Raw genomic sequence first — 21,798 nt, forward strand, 5'->3', positions numbered from 1 at the left:
ATGGCTATGATCACTCATATTTAGCTCTGCATAAATATCTTCAAATAAAAAAAAAGAAAATCAACAAAAACATTAGAGTTAAACTACACACTAGACTCTAAACACCTAATTGACATTTACAGACTATTTTACCCAACTGCTACAAAATACACATTCTTTTCATGAGTAATGGAACATTCTCCAAAATAGATTATATCTTCATCCACAAAACAAATCTCAACAAACTTAAAAAAGTGGAAATCATATCAGATATCTTTTCTGATCAGAATGAAATAAAACTTGAAATCGATAATAAGAGGACCCTTGGAAACTACACAAACACATGGAAATTAAACAACATGCTCCTGAATGACCACTGGACCAATGAAGAAATTAAGAAGCAGCTAAAAAATTTATTGTAACAAAATAGGATTATATTATACTAAAATCTATGGGATACAGCAAAAGTCGTACTAAGAGGGAAGTTTATGGCAATAAACACCTATATCAAAAAGGTAGAAAGACTTCAAATAAACAACAAAACAACGCACTTCAAGGAACTAGAAAAGCAAGAGAAAACCAAACCCAAAATTAATAGAAGAAAAGAATAATGATCAGGCAGAAATAAATGAAAGTGAGACTAAAAAACAATACAGAAGATCAATGAATCAAAAAGTTGTTTTTCTGAAAAGATAGATAAAATTGACAAGCCTTTAGTCAGACTGAAAAAAGAGAAGATACAAAATCAGAAATGAAAAAGGAGACATAACAACTGATATCACGGAAATACAAAGAATCATTAGAGACTATTATGAGCAACTAGGTGCCAACAAATTGGAAAACCTAGAATAAATGGATAAATTTCTGCATACAACCAACTTACTAAGATTGAGCTATGAAGAAATAGAAAACTTCAACAACCAATAACAAGTAATGAGATTGAAGCTATAATAAGTCCTCATCTGACTAGGTGTGGCAGCTCATGCCTGTAATCCCAACACTATAGGAGGTTGAGGCAGGAGGATTGCTTGAGGCCAGCAGTTCTAGAACAGCCTGGGAAATATAGCAAGATCCCATCACTACAAAAAATGAAATACAAGAAAAATTAGCCAGGCACTGTGGCATGTATCTATAGTCCCAGCTACTCATGAGGCTGAGGCAAGAGAATTGCTTGAGCCCAGGAGTTCAAGGCTGTAGTGAACTATGATCATGCCACTCCTTTTTAGCTTGGGCAACAGAGCAAGACCCTGTCTCAGAAAAATTAATAGTACTACAAAGCTATAGTAACCAAATCATCATGGCATTGGTATAAAAACAGACACACAGGCCAATGGAATGTAATAGACAACCCGGATATCAATCCATGAATTTACAGCCAATGCATTTTCCAAAGAGGTTGCAAGAACATATGACAGAGAACAGACAGTTACTTCAATAAATGGTGTTGGGAAAACTGGATAACCATATGCAGAGGAATGAAACTAGACACACTCCAACATATACAAAAATCAAAATGAATTAAAGACTTAAATTCAAGACTTGAGACTATGAACCTTCTATTCAAAAAACATTGGAGAAATGCTCCAGGAGATTGGTCTGGATAAAAAATTTTTTTGTGTAAGATATCAAAAGCATAGGCAACCAAAGCAAAAATACATGGGGTCACATTAAGCTAAAACACTTCTGCACAGCAAAGGAAACAGTCAACAAAGTAAAGAAACGACCCACAGAATGGGAGAAAATATTTACAAACTATCCACCTGACAAGGGATTAATAACCAGAATGTATAAGGAGCTCAAACAACTCAACAGAAAAAAAATCTGATTTAAAAATGGGCAAAAGTTTCTAAGAGATATTTCTCAAAAGAAGATATACTAATAGCCAACAGTATATAAAAAATGCTGAACATCACTAATCATCAGAGAAATGCAAATCAAAACCACAATGAGATATCTCATTCCAGTTAGAATGCATTTTATCAAATGACAGGGAATAGCAGATGCTGGTGAGGATGTGCAAAAAGGGGAATCCTTGTACACTGTTGGTGGGAAAGCAAATTAGTATAATCACTATGGAAATCTGTATAGAGGTTCCTCAAGAAACTAAAAATAGAACTACTATATGATCCAGCAAGTCTACTACTGGGTATGTAATTGATAGCAACAGGAGACAGGCAAAGTTCCTAGGCAGACAAGGATGGGTCCCTGGTGAAACCTGACCTTCAAGCCAAGGACAACCTGAAGCCTGAAAACTGAGCTGCTAGGTCTGGGTAGAGTCCACCACCAGAGTGAAAACGTCCTCAATGCCTTTTGGCCAACTGGAATGGTGCTTTTTCCAGGCCTGCCCATGGATCAATCAGCATGCACTCCCCCATTCTGAACCCATAAAAACCCTGGACTCAGTCTCACAAATGGCTACCCGCTTTGGGCCCCTTCTCACACAGAGGGCTACCCACTTTGGGTCCGCTCGTGTTGAGAGCTTTTCTGTTGCTCAATAAAATTATTCTCTGCCTTGCTCACTCTCCGGTGTCCACCTACCTTATTCCTCTTGGTCTCAGGACAAGAACCTGGAACTCATCAAATGGTGGGTACAAAAAGAGCTGTAACACGCACTCCTGCTCATCGAACTAGGGGTGTGAAAAGACTGCTGGGCATCACACACCCTAGTTTGCCGAACTGCAGGCAGCAGAAACGAATATGCTGTAACACGCCCCTGTCCTCCAAGCTGTGGGCAGCGGGGAGAGCTATAACTAGCCTCCATTCACCTAGCTGTGGGCTGCAGGGAGAGCTGTTACATGCCCCCATCCACCAAGCTGCGGGCAGTGGAGAGAGCTATAACATGCCCCTGTTTGAGTAGCTGCAGGCGTGAAGAAGCGAAGCAGTTAGGCGCCATTCCCTCCTGGCTGGCTCGCCGAACTGTTAATACAAAACCTACAACATTTCTTGGGGGCTCAGACCTCAGGACTCCCCGGGCAAAAGCTGTAATGCCCCTTGGGGCTCCGTGGTTGCCAGCATCGCTGAGCTTTTGGACACCACCAGATTCCCCTCAGCCAGACTCCGGCAACCAACGTGAAAACCTTCCACGGCACTCCCGGTCCAGCTGTAGGCTGATTGCGGAGTTCCTGTTCAGGTGTGGGATGTGTGAGCCAAATGCAGCCTGCGAGCTGAGGGGGCAGAGTGAGGCCTGCAGGCCCGAGCCAGTCCCTGGGCAGAGGTCACGGCAGCCGCAGATTTCTGGCTGGTGAAGCGCACAAAGGAATCCTGTAACATACTCAAAAGAAAGGAAATCAATATATCCAAGAGATACCTGCATTCCCATGTTTATTGCAGCACTGTTCACAATACCCAAATTATGGACTCAACCTGAGTGTTCTTCAGTGGATAAATGGATAAAGAAAATGGGGTGTGTGTGTGTGTGTATATATATATACACACACAATGGAATATTATTCAGCCATAAGAAAATGAAATCTTGTCATTTGCAGCAACATGAATAGACTGGAAATCATATTAAGTGAAACAAGCCAAGTACAGAAAGACAGATATCACATGTTCTGGCTCATATTTGGGAGCTAAAAAAGTTGATCTCATAAAGATAGAGAACAGATTGATGGTTACTAGAAGCTAGGAAGGGTAGTGAGGAGAAGAGGAAGGAGAGAGGTTGATAATGGGTCGATTTGATAGGAGAAATAAGACCTAGTGTTTGATATATCAGTAGGGTGACAGTTTAAAATAATTTGTTGTATATTTTAAAATAGCTAGAAGAGAACAATTTGAATGTTTCTAGCCTAAAGAAAAGACATATTTAAGATGATACATCTTCTAATTACACTGATTTGCTCTTTAAAAATTATATGAATGTATTAAATTTTCACATGCATCCTGAAAAAAGTATATACCTCCTATGCATCAATAGAAAATTAAACTAAAAGATTGGACAGTAAAGAACAGCTTGACAAAGACTATGGTATTTATCTGGCCTTTGAAGGCTGGTAGGGCATATCATGATGGTAGGACACAAGAAATGTTTCTATTCTCTCTCTCTCTCTTTTTTTTTTTTTTCTATAATCCTATCTCTTTTCTGCAGCCACATATTTTTCTTTTCTTTTTTTTTTCTGTTCTTTTTCTTTTCTTTTTCTTCTTCTTCTTCTTTTTTTTGAGACAGAGTCTCCTTCTGTTGCCCAGGCTGGAATGCAGTGGCACCATCTGGGATCATTGCACCTCCGCCTCCCAGGTTCAAGCAATCCTCCTGCCTCAGTCACCCAAGTAGCTGGGATTACAGGCGCCTGCCACCATGCCTGGCTAATTTTTGTATTTTTAGTAGAGACAGGGTTTCACCATGTTGGCCAGGCTGGTCTTGAACTCTTGACCTCAAGTGATCTGCCTGCCTTGGCCTCCCAAAGTGCTGGGATTACAGGCATGAGCCACCACGTCTGGCCAACAGCCACGTATTTTCAAACCTGAGCAGAATCCAATTGCTTTTCTTCTTAAAATCCTCAAACTGCTTTTCATTTCTCCTGGTATGAGGTTGAAAATTCCTTAAAGAAGCCAGGCGCAGTAGCTCATGCCTGTGACCCCAATGCTTTGGGAGGCTGAGGCCTCCTCAAGCGATCAGGAGGATCACATGAGGACAGGAGTTTAAGACCAGCCTGGGCAACATATAAGACCCTGTCTCTACAAAAATTTTTTAAAACATTAGCCAAGCAGAGTGGTGCACACCTGTAGTCCCAGCTATTCAAGAGTCTGAGGTGGGGGATCCCTTGAGCCCAGGAGTTTGAGGCTGCAGTGCGCTATGATCGAGGCACTGCATTCCAGCCTGGGGGGACAGAGACTCTGTCTCTAAAATAAATAAACAAAAAAATTTCTTAAAGAATCTTTTGACCTGGATCCTGCTCCTTTTCTCTGGCCTTATCTCTCATTCCTCAGCTATATTGAATTTCTCTGTTTCCCATAATTATCATGCTAATGTATTCCTGGGCCTTTTCACACATAGCTCTTCTTCTGTAGACCGCTCCTTTCTCCTATCACCAAGCTGACTTCTACTTACATTTTAGGGTTTCTTCTTCTAGGAAACTGTTTCTGATAATGTAGTTGCCTCTTTTGTCCCTTTCATAACATCCTGAACTTCCCCTGGAATAGCACCCGATTTTGTTTTAATTTTTCGTTTTCCTGTTGCAGTGTAAGCTCCCTAATAGCAACATCTAACATTTGTGGAGGGCCATGTGCCAGAAACTGTTTTATGCACTTGACATGCATTCTTTCCTTTAATCTTTACAACAAACCTATGATGCTTTATTGTTCCTTTTTGACAGATAAGAAACAGAGGCAAATGCAGGTTAAGGAACCTCACAGTAAGGGATAAAACTCATATTTTAACCTGATCTGCCTGATTCTGGAGCCTGCACCATCATTCCATTGTCGTGCTTGCCACATGGTAAGGATTTAACAGACATTTATTGAATGAATGAATTTGGTAAACCTAACCAGGATAGAAGAGGAGCACTCAGGATTATTGGAAACAAAGTAGGAAAGTTAGGCCCAGATATGGAGACTCTAGGACCCTGAGAAGTAGTTTAGACTGGAGGTGGCTGGGAATAGGGATTCATCATTGATAACATTTTTTAAAGAAGATTAGATTGGCAACAGTTCGTATAACTTCTACACAGCTCTTTCTATCTCAACCTTCAACTTGAAAATAGAATATGTAGAAAAGGGCACAATGAAACATTTATGAAAAAATATTATTTTAATGCATAAACTTTAAAGGCTGAAATTTTTTTTAACTGAAGATCATATATTCATAAATAACAAAAAGTGTATATTTTTTCAGATAATTTTATGGCATGACCATTAAGATTTTATATTTTAAAAACAAGAATAGATGTTTAAAAAATGACTTACTTTCCACAGGATATTTAGGGGCAAATCATGTCTTATTGAGAATTTAAGTTACAGGTGCTTTATCAAAACTCTTTTAATTTTTTTTTGGCAGATTTCTCTTTTAAAAATCTTTTCTTCAATCAGGGTTTTAGGGATTGTGTAAAACCCAAAATAAGAAAATCAACTATGTCAATCAGTAACTTGTAATGCTTTCTGCTGGTTCCATGTTCACAAGGCAAATACAGTTATACATCTTAACAACAAGGAGACATTCTGAGAAATGTGATTTTTGTCATTGTACAAACATAATAGAGTGTACTTACACAAATTTAGGTGGTATAGCCTACTACACACCTAGGATATATGGTACAGCCTATAGCTTCAAGACTACAAACCTGTACAGCATGTTTCTGTACATGAATGTTGTAGGCAATTGTAACACAGTGGTAAGTATTTGTGTGTATCTAAACATATGTAAACATAGAACAGCTACAGTAAAAATATAGTATTATTATCTTATGGGACCACTATGATATATGAGGTTCATTGTTGACCAAAATGTTACAAGGGGCATGACTGCAGTACTTTTTGTTGCAAACAAAGCCATCTATTGGCCCAAACAACTTACTGAAAAACTATATTGTTTATCTCTAGGTGTGAAATTCCACCTTTAACTATGTTGAGGATGGTCCAGACTTAAAAATCATTGCCCTCCAAGGTGATTTGGCTACACTGGGTAAATTCCAGGGATTATTTAAACATAGTCACAGTTAGACTCAATAATATTGTAGACATCATAATATTTCACTTCTTTTTCCACCTCCCAGGCTCAACCCCATTTTTACTCCTATTACTCTAAAGAGTGATAAATTGCAGTAATATCTCCCTTTTTAAATTCTCACCCCAAAGTGCCTTAATTATTTTAGAGTTTAGGGTCTCTTGTTATTGTATCGTGTATTTTTCTCACTTACCTTTTCTGCAGACATGAACTATGCCACTTATGCACATTGTGACAACTTAGAGACAAGCATGAGTTTTAGTGACATAGAAGAAACCAGACTAACAGGAAAAGACTTGCCTGCATAGTTGAAAGACTCTCTTTGTTGCCCTGGGCAGCATATATCTAAATCTATACATTCCTGTTTTTAGAACATGGGAATACAAGGATCGGAAGATATACAAAATCATACCTTACACTGCAGAATGTCTTAAGTTTGATCAGAACGTAGCATAGAGTTTTTTATCTGAAATGGTAGAGCGTCTTCTATCTTGGAAGTGAAAACAGTAGTCATTTACCTATAATACAAGAAATGCAATTTATGTTTTCATTTATATGCTATAAAAAGTTATATGACTGTTTTATTCTCATTATCTCTTGTTCCCTCTCTTCTTCTCTCCCTCCCCCGATTTTTCTATATGTAGAGTTTGATAGGTGATACAAGTAATAGAAAGAATTTACCACCCTTTCAAGAATATTATCTTTAACATATTTCAATATGTCTAATTTTAGTTTGGGGATAATTTTATATATATATATATATATAACTTTTTTCGAAACAGAGTCACTCTGTTGCCCAGGCTGGAGTGCAATGGCATGGTCTTCGCTCACAGCAGCCTCCACCCCCTGTTCCCCGCTCCCTTCAAGTGATTCTCCTGCCTCAGCCTCCCGAGTAGCTGGGATTACAGGCACGCACCACCACACCCAGCTAATTTTTGTATTTTTAGTAGAAACTAAATTTCACAATGTTGGCCAAGCTGGTCTTGAACTCCGGACCACAAGTGATCCACCCGCCTTGGCCTCTCAAAGTGCTGGGATTACAGCTGTGAGCCGTTGCACCAGGCCTAGTTTAGGGATAACACTGAGATGCAAAATAATTTAAGCAACCAAAATGTTATATATATATATATATATTTTTTTTTTTTTTTTTTTTTTTTTTTTTGAGACAGAGGCTCTGTCGCCCAGGCTGGAGTGCAGTGGCGCGATCTGGGCTCACTGCAAGCTCCGCCTCCCGGGTTCACGCCATTCTCCTGCCTCAGCCTCTCCGAGTAGCTGGGACTACAGGCGCCCGCTACCACGCCCGGCCAATTTTTTGTATTTTTAGTAGAGACGGGGTTTCACCAGGGTCTCGATCTCCTGACCTCGTGATCCACCCGCCTCGGCCTCCCAAAGTGCTGGAATTACAAGCGTGAGCCACCGCGCCCGGCCTCCAAATGTAATATATATTATGATATGATATGATATATATTCAGAAGAAGAAGCCTATAAAGATCCAGTCTACATAAATAACTTTGGAGAGTCCTGTGGAGAGCACTTCAAAGAGATAGCCAATAATTCCCTACAACAACTAAAATTGAGCTGTGCTACTTCAATAGGGATAGACAGACTATGCATATTAAAACCCAATGAACAGAGAAAACAGATAATAGTTTTGAATGTAAGCATCAATCAAAATTCATAAAAGAGGAAGTTTTGATTTTAAGCATTGGTTATAAATTGAGCTGCTTCTTTCAAGGACAACTCTATGTAGTATAATAGTAGAATATGAGGTAATAGGGCTTGATTCATTATTCAGGATGGTTGAAAAATCTACTATGGAACACTGGAGAGGGAAGCTGACTATATGTAATACTTTATTTTAATATATTACAAATCTGGTATTTTAATGAGGAAGATATTTAAAAAATAAATATAAAAAAATTAAATGGTTTGTCCACAATTTGAAAAGGTTTATGACATTAAAAATCTGAATATTTTAAATTAAAATAATTAATTGAAAAAATATTAGCCTCAGTATTGACAGAAACAATATCTATGTCATAAAAGAGTTCATACAAAGTGATTAGCTTAATACCGTCTTAAAAAATAACAGACTATTTGATTTATTTAACAAAAAGTTAATAATGAGATTAATAATGTTCAGTTTCAATAGTAATTAAAATATAGTTTAAAATAAGATACTTTTATTCCTATTAACATAGCAAATATTTCAGAAAAATAAAATGACTAATAATGAGGTTAATATGAAATTGTTATATTTACTGACGTCAGTATAGACTGCTCAAACCATCTGTGAAGTTATTAGGCAGTAAATATAAATAGTTACACAGGATCCTCTCCCTTTGATTTTCTAATATGGGAATTATATAAATTCTTGTGAAAAATGTCAAAGAAGAAAAAATATATACATTATTATTTCATAGGATGGGGAAGGAAAATTATAAATGGCCAATAATAGAGAATTGCTTAAATAAATTGTGATGCAGAAACTCAATGGAATATTATGCTGCCATTTGTAGGAAATATTTGGGATACATGAAGCACAGTGGTGTTTGGCTGGGTATGATGGCTCATGCCTGTAATATTTGGATACATGAAGGACAACAGAGGTGTTTGGCTGGGTGTGGTGGCTCATGCCTGTAATCCTAGCACTTTGGAAGGCTGAAGATGGCAGAACACTTGAGGCCAGAAGTTCAGACCTCTCTCACCAACATGGCAAAACCCCAGCTTTACTAAAAATACAAAAAATTAGCTGGTCGTGGTGGTGCTTGCATGTAGTCCCAGCTACTCGGGAAGCTGAGGCATGAGGGTTGCTTGAACCTGGGAGGAGGAGGTTGCTGCAGTGAGCCGAGATCGTGCCTCTGTACTCCAGCCTAGGTGACAAAGCAAGACTCTGTCTCCAAAAAAAAAAAAAAAAAAAAAAAAAAAGTGGGGTGTTTCTCAATAACTAAGTTTTAAGAAAAATCATATATATACTTTTTTTTTTTTTTTTTTTTTTTTTTTGCAAGAGGGAGGCAGTAAAATCAAAGCATACTGGTGGATTAAGGTAGAAAAGAGAGAATGGCTCCCAAGCACAAAGTATAAAACTGTAACCAGAATGAATTTACTGGCACATTCAGTGAAAGAATGTGTCAATTAAGGACAAGGTTGCCAAACAGTGGAAACAACAACAACAAAAAAGAAGTCTTTAAGACAAAACAGGTGTGCCCATCCAGCACTGACTAGGACTTTATCTTGCTTTGAAGTGCTTGAAGATATTATGGGAATAGGCATTCAAATTATATTAGAGACTCCTTTTGTTTGGAGGCCAAATTGATCAGCCAACCTCCTTATTATTAGACATCCATGTGGCTTGCCTAGAGGGAGAAAATGTGATAGGTCAAAGCAAACACAGGGAGGTAAGCTTGATGGGCATACTTATCAATGTAAATTTATAAATTGCTGTTTTAGTTTCATCGTTTTTCAGTCTCTTTGAGGCTTGCTAAAATTGATATCCATGAGTTCTATCAATTCTGGGACAGAGAACAAATTGTGTTCTGTAAGGATGGAGGGACAGCGAGGAATTTGCCAAGGTAAGTGGCACCTTGTGTATGGCACCTGGCCTTCCGCAGGTGATACACTTTCTCATTTATAGTCTCTGAATGTCTGTACATTGAGATGTTAATTATGCATCCATGCGGCAAGTAGAAAAGCATTTTTGGTATAATTTTAGTGAAAAAGCTAAAGCATAACATTTTGTCTATTATGAAAGCAATAATTTCAACTACGCATGAATATGGGCACAATAATAAGGAAACAAGGGAAAAGAAATAGTGATTGAGTTAGTGATGGGCATGCCAATCATATTTCTTTTTCTTTACTGCCATTTTGTTTGTTTACTTCATAAAAATCAGAAGAATAAAGGCAAATTCAGTGTTATATGGATATAAAATTTTATAATAATGATATTTAATAATATAAATTAATACAAATAATAGCATATTTGTAATAATAATTGAATGATAAAATAGACATTAAGCAATAGTAATTTTGGAAGTATTTCATCTCTAATTGGCCCATGAATCTGTTATGGCTAGTACATGGTAGCTGAGAAAACTCATTTAAAATGAAGATGCAATAGCCACATAACTATATATCTCATGCCCAAAAGAGTATTTTCTGGACCCGTGGCTTTCCAATTCTTGGACAAGTGAAATCGTATTGAGCATTGAGTCATCTTCTAAACATATTGAAGACTTCAAATAATCTCTGTTAAGTTACTTTGTAATAAATCAACAAATACAATGGCCATCTATGTTTTCAATTTTCTTTCTAACAAGCAGACCAATCTATTGACTTACTGTTTTCCTGTTTCTTTTTACTAAACTATTAGAGTAACTTAAAAAACCTTTTTTCCCCTTGCATCTCCTAGCAACCAAATTCAAATTTATAAGAAATAAATTTCTTATGGAGGCGCTTATAATTAAGAGGCTTAACACATTATGATTTCCACCTAAACCCTTGGTGGTTAAAGGTTTTTATAGAGTATCATGATATATGATTTAAATGTAAAAAAGGAATTTTTTGTTTAGGACTACCAGTGTTGGACTTGTAGTACAAAAGAAAGTCAAATGTGAGTATTACCCAAATAAAGATTCGAGATTTAAATTTTAACCTTAAGTATTTAAGTAATTTCACTCAAATAGTGATTTAATATAAGCAGAAGCGTTATCACTGCGATTCTCTGCTCTCCTTTGTGTGTTCCATCTTTTCTTCTAATCTCTCTTGTCTTTTCACCATACTGAGTCAGTTTAGTGCTAGTCTGCACCTCCCTCTAGAGTATGAAAATAGCAGTCACTTTTCACATTTTGAGGCAGAAATACTCTTCCTCAGAGGAACTTGATTAGTGCCTCCACAGTTCTGCTTTTCAGGGTTCAGCACCAAATTCTATTTTTGTCAGCAGTCCTCTTTGTCCTACCGGCTGGCATGGAAGCTGAAGAAGCCACTGAATCTGAGTCAGGCTCTGCTTGACACATTTAGAACAATTTCTCTGAGATAACAGTAAACAACAGAGAATTGTGACCTAGGAAGTTAAAATAAACTGAAGCAGCTCTCTAGAAAAGTGAGGAGACAGTAAATAAGGCATGAAATAAGGAATGAATGTTGCTAATTGTGTCTATGGGTACATCATATCTCCAGTCAACCTTCAAAACACTTTGAACTCAAATAAGCTGTAACATTTGGTTAGTTTCTATGCTCCTCATTCATAACATGCAAAAATGTGAATTCAGAATTAGTGAAGATTGTCTGCTTTTTGCTTGTTTCTAGAAACATTTTATTGTGCAGTGAGTTTTACCTCAAAGCTCTGGGATTTATTTGCAGGGATATATATATATATATATATATATATATATATATACACATGTGTATAGCATAGGCCAACATAAATAGACAGAGATAGACCAAATCTCAAGAGATTAAAGAAGATATGTAGGACAAAACACTCTTAAATATACCAACCTCCCACCTCCATTCTCAAATACATGCACGTCCTTGGTTGTCTTTCCTTTACCCCTACTTTTTTGGGAATACATGTAAAGAAAACAAAAAGAAAGAAAAATATAAACCTGTTGTAAAACACAAATAGGTATCAAAGGAAGAGCTGAGTTTAAAAATACAGAGATTGCTACCGATAAAATGCATAATTTTGGATACCAGTGGTTTCACCTACCAAGTTGATGGAAAAAAAATGCATTTTGCAATAAGTTAAGGAAATACATTTGAGGAGCCTTATACAAAAACCGTTTCCACTGTCTCTAAACAGTTTTTAAATGATTCATGTTAAAATACTTCACATATGCTCTGACTCATATAGATAGTCTTGAGCTAACATTCTTTTATCAGCTGGATGTTAATGCAAAGTTAGATTATATTAACTTTTATTTTAAGCATCACATTATATTTTAGTTCTTTGTGAGCCTGGAATCCACTAAAATCTGCCAATCTTTGTCACATAATCGTTATCCTATAACTCTGAGATTGAATTTTTGAACCTAAGAATGGAACTTTTTATTAATGACTGCCAAGTTTTATCTCATTTACTTCACTTCTTTATTCTAGTCAGTTGAGGCAATCATTTTGAATCTTGGCTGTCATTGGTCATATTATTTACTGCAGGAATTATAAAACTTTCTCTGTAAAAAGCTAGTAAATATGTTAGGCTTTGTGGGCTATGGATCTTTTTTATATAGTATTCCTTTTCTTTTATTAAATAAAATACAAACAATTCTTTTAGTTGTAAAAACCATTCTTAGCTCAAGGGCCATACAATGACAAGCCTCAGACCAGATCTGGCCCACAGGTTGTAATTTGCCAACCTCTGGTGAACTGTATTAGTTATCTGTTGCTGTGTAACAAATAGCCCTACCATTTAGTGGCTTAAAATACAAAATATTTTATCTAAATTGTGGTTCTGGAATCCACGGCATTGATTTGTCTGGGTACCTCTGCCTTGAGTTCTTTCCCAGGATATAATAAAGCAGTTGGCTTGGGCTGCAGTCTCATCAGAAGACTTGACTGAAATAGAATCTGCTTCTGAGTTTCTCATGTAGTTATTGGCAGGATACAGTCCCTAACGGACTGTTGGCCAGAGGTCCCCCCTTGCTTCCTTGCCAGGTGGGCAGTTCACAACTTGGTAACTAGATTACATCACAGTTGGTCAGCAAGAGGAAGAAAAAAGAACTTGCAAGATGGAAGCCACAGACTTTTTGTAACCTAATTTCAGAAGTGACGCCCATCACTCATGCTGCATTATATTGATTAGAAGTGAGTTCCTAGGTGCAGTTCACACACAAGGGGAGGGGATTTCACAAAGGTGTGAATACTGGAATGGCAAGAATGACTGGAGCCATCTTAAAGGCTGCCTACAAAACCTATCCACCCAAAATATTATACAACTTAGAAGAAACAAGTTTTCAATTTGTCCAAGTTTTTGATAAAAACATCCAAGAAGGGGTGTTCATGACTGACTTTTGTGGCATGCTTTTTTTCCCCCAAGATTGATTCCAGTCCATTAATACTATGAATATTGCTGATTGCCTAACTGCAAATTCTCAGTGGTGCTATCATAAACATTTTGTCATCATATCCTTGGAAATCTTAAGAGACATTTTTGTCAAATTCATTTTAACAATCATGCTGTTTCTGCTTCACTGGACAGGTGAAATTAAGTTAAACTGAGTCTCAAGGACTGTCTTGAAGAATAAAATAAGTCATAGCAGTACTATAGCTCAAATAATGTCATAAATAGAGAGAACCAGTTTTATCTGCCTTGTCTCCATGACAGGAAGTTTTAAGACTGTTTGCATCCTATATGAGCCTCAATTTTTTTAACCAACTGGTAAAGCTGCCTTTTCCTCCACTTCCATATATGCTTTTATAGAAAGATGTATATTTTCTTAAGAGATCAAATCAGGGATGAATTGGACTTTACAAATATTGTAACAGTAAATCGCAATCATAATTTGATTCAAGGATCTTTCAAAATTAGAGAATACCAGTTATTGATAGCTGCTATCTAGATAGCAACAATATACCATTACAATGTTTCTACTACTTCAAAAAAAAAAGTATAATGCTCTAACCCAAACTGCCAACAAAAGTACTGTCATTTTAAATGCTGTGTCACTCAAACTTCAATCTAACAACCTACGTTTTGCAACTCTTTCCCCCTTAAGCAATATAATTATTACTACCCATTGGGTGTATAATATGAGTGACATGCTGCACTAAACAACTGTATTACGATCTTCTCGTTAATTCTTCTTAACAACTCTGGCAGGTAGGTACTATTATTATGTGCATTTTACAGAGATTAAGCAACTTGCCTGTGGTCATCCAGCTAGTAAATGATGAAGCAAAAGTTTGAAGCCTAGTAGCCTAAATTGAGCCCTTTCTTTTCAAGCAGAGACACAAATGTAATATTTGTTTATTTAAGAACTGCTAAGGAAACTTTTCCTAGGAAACATGGTTGAATGATTCACATAAAGTATAGTTAATTTTTTTTCAGTTTGAAGCCACTAGATGGCAATATTTGCAAATTTTGTTTTTCTTTTTACTTAAGGTGGAAAAGTAACTCCACAGTATTAGTGACTAGTTTTCTGTGAAGAAATTATTTATCTTTGATTTGCCAAATATAACTGTTATTTGTAGGAAGATTTTTCAGTGACATGATGTAATGTGACCATAGCAGTTTCAAGTGGGACAAAAATTGGAGTGTTATCTGCTATTTCATTTAATTTTTGTTTTACTTTAGTTTGAGGTTGAAGGGAAGTTCCTAGAAACTTAAAATTTCTTCCTGGAGGTCCTCCCTCATGCTACAACACTGCCATGAAGTCCTGTTTGTTTAATATCAAACATGACAAACACTTACTTTTCAGAAAAATAGTGTGCTATAACAAGCTTTAGTGACTTTAAAAACATAATTTGTATTGCCTGGAATGTACCCCTCCTCTTTTACATCATACATTCCTGTGTATCTTTTAAATCCTAACTTACATATGTATCTTTTTCCTCTGTGATGTCCCTTCCACAAGCACAGGCAGATTCTTCTAACAGTACCACCTCAGTCCCATACCATTTGAGGCTTTGATACATTATACATGTCCTAATGATATACATTTGTGTTTATCTTCACTCTCCTTTGGGAGCACTTCAAAGGCAGTCTTTTAAAAATTCATATATGGAGCCGGCCGCGGTGGCTCATGCCTGTAATCCTAGCACTTTGGGAGGCCGAGGCGGGCGGATCACGAGGTCAGGAGATCGAGACCATCCTAGCTAACACGGTGAAACCCCGTCTCTACTAAAAATAAATTCAAAAAAAATTAACCGGGTGTGGTGGAGGGCGCCTGTAGTCCCAGCTACTCAGGAGGCTGAGGCAGGGGGATGGCATGGACCCAGGAGGTGGAGCTTGCAGTGAGCTGAGATTGCACCACTGCACTCCAGCCTGGGCAACAGAGCGAGACTTCGCCTCAGAAAAAAAAAAAAAATCATATATAAAACTCTCAGTTTCTCAATACCTAAATAAAAAAAATCATATTAGCATATCACAAGCTATTTATCTAATCCTCTACCGATGACATTTGATTTCTTTTCACATGTTTGCTTTTACATACAATGCTTCAAAAAAGTCTTTGTTTTTGTCTTGCACGTGTGTGAGAATTGCATTAGAAATTCTAGAGATCAAATTTATGCATAATAGGGTACATATGGTGCACACAATTTTAATCACACTTGACATTTGTCATTCATTTTGGCTGCTCGTCAACTAATATGCCTATGTTTTGGGAACTTTCCATTTTATGAGTATGGTGGGAGGCCGACCCTGTTTTCCACTATAAACACTGAAAATGCCAAATACTTGCTTCGTGAGCTTCCTTTGCACCTAGGATGTGGGCACATGGTCTTGTTTCTCTGCTTGAAATTGAGAGCCAATGCATCAGAAGAGAGGACTCTGCACAGCTGTGTTGATTGTTGCAGCAGGACTAAACTTTGTATCAGTAATGGAAGCTATGCTATTAGTGGCATTTAGTACACAGAGCCAGTTCTGTGTGCAGTGCAGGTTGCAACAACTTTTGTTTGGTGAAGGCCACAGTGGGGTTCTCATTAGATCATTTCTATGGTGTGATTTTGAGCATAGTTTTTGGTGCAAAGCCCTGTCCCTAATTGTCTAGGATTCCTAATGATTCTATGAACTACCCCCAAATCCTTGTAATAATGTCCTATTCTGCTTCATCAGTTGAACTTGGTTATTTTTTGTTTCTAGCTAAAAATCCTGACTCTTATAAATTGGTATCAGGAATGGGCTGGAGGTGTTGTTTCTAAAGACGCTGAACAGCTAAATAAAAAAGGAATGACATTCTCAAAATTCTAATTTAGGGCATAGATTGAAAACCAGCTAAAAGAATATCTCCTTTCTTGCAGCCACAGGGTTGAGATAGTCAAAGATCAAATTCAAAGTTTAATTATATAGGTTTCCAAATTCCAAACTCAGCTGAATTCACAGTCTTGTGTAGTATGTGAAAGTAAGAGTTTGATAATGAAAGAGTAGTGTCCCCCCAAACTAAAATGGGATACATGAAAGGATTTAATTTGATTGACTCAGAAAATACTGATTCCTCTTCATAGAGACTCCCTTGCCTCCAGGAGCGCTTACCTTCATTTGACTCATGAGATTGTTCTTACCTTGCTTTACAACCCTGTCACAACTTTACGTAAGGAAGTCATATTGCAGGAGGAAGCCAGTCCTCTTCTTGCTCTACTCTTAACACTTATTATGTCTAGACCAATAATGAAAACCAGATCCTCAGCTTGAACTTGTATTAGGGGAGTGATATTATAGCATAACCCCCAGGATGATAAAGCTTGTACTTTAAAATAGTTTAAGAAAAATATTATTTTAGTTCAGTGATGAAAAGAAGATTTGGTTAATGTATACATATAAATAAGGGAGGAATGTATTTTAAGACGTAACTGAAGTTACCAGTATGGGTAACCTTGTCAGAAATTAGTCTTTTAATATCCTAGCTTAAACATATGGGAGTAGTTTTAATTGTTTTCTTGTTTGGTTGACTGAAATCCAGACCATAGCTCATATGAACAGAAATGGACCTGCTCTAGAGAAGAAAAGATATTAATACAAGAGTTAAAAGACTTGGGTAGAAATCTTAAGGTAGAAGTAGTGGATTAATTTGTTGTTTGCATTCTGCTCTCCTCACTCCTAATAAAATCCCTCAAGAGGGTTCAAGAGATAACCTCTTCACCAAATCTGTTAGAAATAGATTAGACAGTAGTCTGGGTGCAGTGGCCCACTTCTGTAATCCCAGCACTTTAGGAGGCCAAAGCAGCAGGATCACTTGAGGCCAAGAGCTTGAGGTCAGTTTGGACAATATAGTAAAACCTTGTTTCTGTTTTAAAAAACAAACAAACAATTTGAGAGTCTTTCTGAGCTACCTGTGGCTCAGGTAGCTGCCCAATAAGCAACAACAAGAAATACATTACATGGGCATTGTGGCTCATACCTATAATCCCAGCACTTTGGGAGGCCGAAGCAGGAGGATTGCTTGAGGCCAGGAGTTTGAGACCAGCCTAGGCAACATAGCAAGTCCCCCATCTCTATGAAAAATATAAAATTAGCTGGGCATGGTGGCTTGTACCTGTGGTCTCAGCTACTTGAGAAGCTGAGGCAGGAGGATCACTTGAGCCCAGGAGGTTGAGGTTGCAGTGAGCCAAGATTGTGACATTGCCTTCCAGCTTAGGCAACAAAACAAGACACTGTCTCAAAAAAAAGAAAAAAAAAGAAAAAAGAAAAAAAAAAGAAAGAAAAAGTAGAAAACAAATGAATTAGGAATGCCTCTTGAGGGCACCCTTAATTTCAGTGAGAATGTGAAGATCCTAGGTTGACAGAAATTAGAGTACTTAATTACTAAGGCAAATTGGCGTGATTACCATAATTATAGACCATAAATTCCTGACCATTAGTCTGGATAACTACTTGATCTGAGCTGATCATGATGAACCACATGTTATCCATTAAAGTACCAAGTTAGTCATGCCTAGTAGCAGTCCACTATAAAAAGGAAGTAATATATGTGGAACTGAGCCGGAGAATATCTAGAGGCACAAGAAGGATACATGTGTTTATGATTCATATTCTGAGTGTGCTACTTCTGCTTCGTTGTCATTTTTCTCTCAACTTCATTTATGACCTCATGGCAAGTTACCTATGACCTAAATCTCTGACCTTGGTTAACAGATGAGTCAACATAATTTGCTGGCACTAGGTGAAAGTAGACTACCACCTCCCTACAAATCTAATCAGGGTTAGCTCTTAAGGACCATGAAAAATGAATTCCTCTTGATAGGTAGAATTTTGAGTATCCCAGGTAATTTTCCAGTTATGAAAACCATAGCCTGAATCAAGAATCTATGCCCATTTATGGTGACTGGCTAGTGGAACTAGAAGGAGGAAGATTAGAGTCTTAGAAACAAGGAGTTTGAAAAGTAAAATACAAGGATAGATGTCTTCCTATGGATCCAGAATATGAGAATATTGTCCCAAATGAAAGCGTGTCAAAAAGTCTTTACCATGGAAGAAGCTCTTAATAATCAAAGAGGCTGGCAGTTAGCCTCTATCTATGACCATACCATTGCTTTCTTAATAGGCTCATTAAAAAATACCAATCTTGCAGGGATGGAGGCCATGCATGGACTCAACAACATCAATTTTTACTCCTGAAGGCTTGCCAACAGCAGGAACTTATCCTCAATCTTTTATGTGACATCTCCATTCGTTTTCTATTGCTGCATAAAAATTATCACAAAATTAGCCATTGGTAACAAAACGCATTTATTACTTCACAGTTTCCACGTATCACAAGTCTGGACATGGCTTAGCTGAGTTCTTTGCACAGGTTCTCGGAAGACTGTAATCAAGGTGCTGGCCATACTGGCATTCTTGTCTGGAGGCTTCATTAGGGGAGAGTCCAATTCTAAGTTAATTCATAGTTTTTGGCTATATGATTGAAGGCCCTGACTTTTTGCTAGCTTTTGTCTGGAGGCTGCCCACAGCCCCTTGACACATAGTCTTTTAGTACATGGCCACTTACTTCATCAAACATACAAGCCAAGCTGGCTTTATGGGCACACATCCTATGCTGTCACATATCCCTGTGCTTAGAAGGCCCCACACTTGGTTTAAGGCTCTTTTGTAGCTGTTTTGAAATTCTTAGTAATTTTTGAAAAAAGGAGCCCCAGGTTTTGCTTTTGCAGTGGGCCCCACAAATTATGTAGCTAGTGCAATCTGCAAGGAGAGTTTCTAGCTCCAGTCTGCTAAGATGGAGACTTTGGTAACATAATCTAATCACAAGAATTACATCCATCATCTTTGCCATATAATGTAATCATAAGAGTGATATCACCTTTGCTACTGTCTACTGGTTAGAAGCACGTCATAGGTCCCTACCATACTCAAGGGAAGGGGACTATAGGAGGACGTAAATACGAGGAGGTGAGAATTGCAAGGGCCACTCGTAGGTCTTTCTGCCACAGTACCATAAACTGGACTAGGGCAAGTAGAGAGCAGGTACCTAGAAAGGATTTCAGCTGGATTTCTCTGCCTGCCATGCTTTTGTTTGCAGCACTATTTCTTGGAATTTTTGAGTGTCTTATTCACAGTCATTGCATCCCACACAGCATTGTCTCCAAGGAATTATTTTACAGTTTACAATTTATCCCTTACCACCTGCTTTATAGATTGTCGAAATGTCGTACTGAAGACTAGCACCTATAGTGCCAGGCAGGAAAGCAATTTCTTGGGAGGTCAGGATGTTGTCTTGCATAAAGTATTATATGCTCTGAACTGGTAATCAGTACATGGGCTGTTTTCCTCATAAACAGAATGTGTAGATTTGGGAAGCAATGACTATAAGTGGTGGCTCATAAAATTACACCAAATGCCTACTTATACATTTTTTTGCATCATGTCTTCAGAACATGAGTTTTTACTGGTTCAGAGATCTTAATGTCTAAGAGATATTACTTAATATCTAAAAGAGATTTCCTGTAACCACCAAGAGACACAAGCAAAGTTCAACTGTATCGACAGTGGCCACTGCCAACTGGCTGTTTTGAATAATTGATGCCACTGGACAAACCAGACCAAAAGGGAATTCAGGTGTTGGCAGAGGTGATTGATTCTATTCATGAAGAGCAATAGGTGTATTGCTACACAGTGAGGGCAAAGAAAAATATGGATAAAATCCTTCATTATTTATAGTATTTATAATTCTTATTTATTTTCCTTTTCAGATTTTATTATCTGAGAGCACTAGTACATTACTGAAAAGCGATGTCTATAATGGACATCTGTGTATTATGACTCTAAAGAGAGTATTTCTAGCATTTTATCATTACATAAGATGTTTGTGAGGTTTAAAAAGATGACAGTTAAGTCCATTTCCTTCTTTTTCTTTCTTTTTTTTTAAAAAGAAAAAAACTTCAACTTTTGTCTCAGGATCTATACGCCCATTTTCTTCTATTCTTGGTATGCTTTACAAAAAAAAAACTCATGAATGTATGTTGCATTTTTTTCTTATGCATTTTTCATTAACTAAACTAATTATGTTGCTCATTTAATTTATAAATGTGGTGAATCACATCAATTGGTTTTCTGTGTTTCAGACATTTTGGAGTTTCTGAAATAAAACCCACTTGATCCCTTCTATGTTCATCTCCTGCGCTGGATTTGATTCATTAATATTTTATTTCAGTTTTTAAATCTGTATCTATAAATGACATTCACACACCATTTTTCATTCTTGTATTATCCTTTTATTATCCTTATCTTGTATTATCCTTGGTTTCAATTTTAAGGTAAATTGGGTAGTATGTTAGTCAGGGTTCAGTTTAAGATAACAGATTCCATCCTGAAAAAAAAAGGATTTATCCTGTGAGGTGCTAAATGGATTACTTACAGACATGTTTTGAGAACTGAAGAAAGAGACTTATTTGCATTTCCAGGAACTGTGACTAAATCCGTATAGCAGAACTGAGCCCCCAGGGAAGATACTGCCAGTGTTATAATCAAGAATTTGAAACATTATGAAGATGCCATATCTTCCACGATCAGGAAGCCACTGAATCAGGAACTTATGCTGTCTCCAAATCAGGATACAGAAGCTGCTCTAGTTGGCAGCTCCAGAATCACATCACTTCTGCTAATCAGGAAGGTATCTGCAGTCAGGACCCCAATGCCCAGCTGTGTCACCAGCCCCCACAGCAAAATGGATGCCCTGCGTCCTAAACCTCTTCCCATTTGATTCACTTCCAAATTAAAGTTTCAAATGGGTAAAGTTTGATAGCAGAGCTCAAATCACATTTGGTATCTGAGCAAAAGAGATTCTGGGAAATACAATGTTTTATATGGCTTCTGCCTGCTCTGCGGAGCTGGAATAGGTGTTGTATGAGCCAATTAGCATTGATGCCCATAGGGGTCTCCCTCATTTCTTTCTCTCTTTCTTTCTTTCTTTCTTTCTTTCTTTCTTTCTTTCTTTCTTTCTTTCTTTCTTTCTCTCTCTCTCTTTCTCTCTTTCTCTCTTTCTTTCTTTCTTTCTTTCTTTCTTTCT

At 37.4% G+C, this 21,798-nt stretch overlaps 1 long non-coding RNA gene across 2 annotated transcripts in view; it reads left to right on the forward strand.

Moving 5' to 3' along the window:
* The window catches only part of ANKRD17-DT (ANKRD17 divergent transcript), a 99,858-nt gene that overhangs the window by 37,807 nt on the left and 40,253 nt on the right, over positions 1–21,798 (forward strand). Inside the window, exons 2-4 of one of the 2 annotated variants that reach the window (NR_187400.1) lie at positions 5,292–5,413; positions 10,088–10,209; positions 20,855–20,981. This is a non-coding gene — a long non-coding RNA (ANKRD17 divergent transcript). Of the gene's footprint in view, positions 1–5,291; positions 5,414–10,087; positions 10,210–20,854; positions 20,982–21,798 lie in introns of those variants that run through there. The other variant, NR_187399.1, reaches the window with a different exon arrangement.

The sequence above is a fragment of the Homo sapiens genome, chromosome 4 (assembly GCF_000001405.40).
Source record: "Homo sapiens chromosome 4, GRCh38.p14 Primary Assembly".
In the NCBI taxonomy this organism is placed as follows: Eukaryota; Metazoa; Chordata; class Mammalia; order Primates; family Hominidae; genus Homo; species Homo sapiens.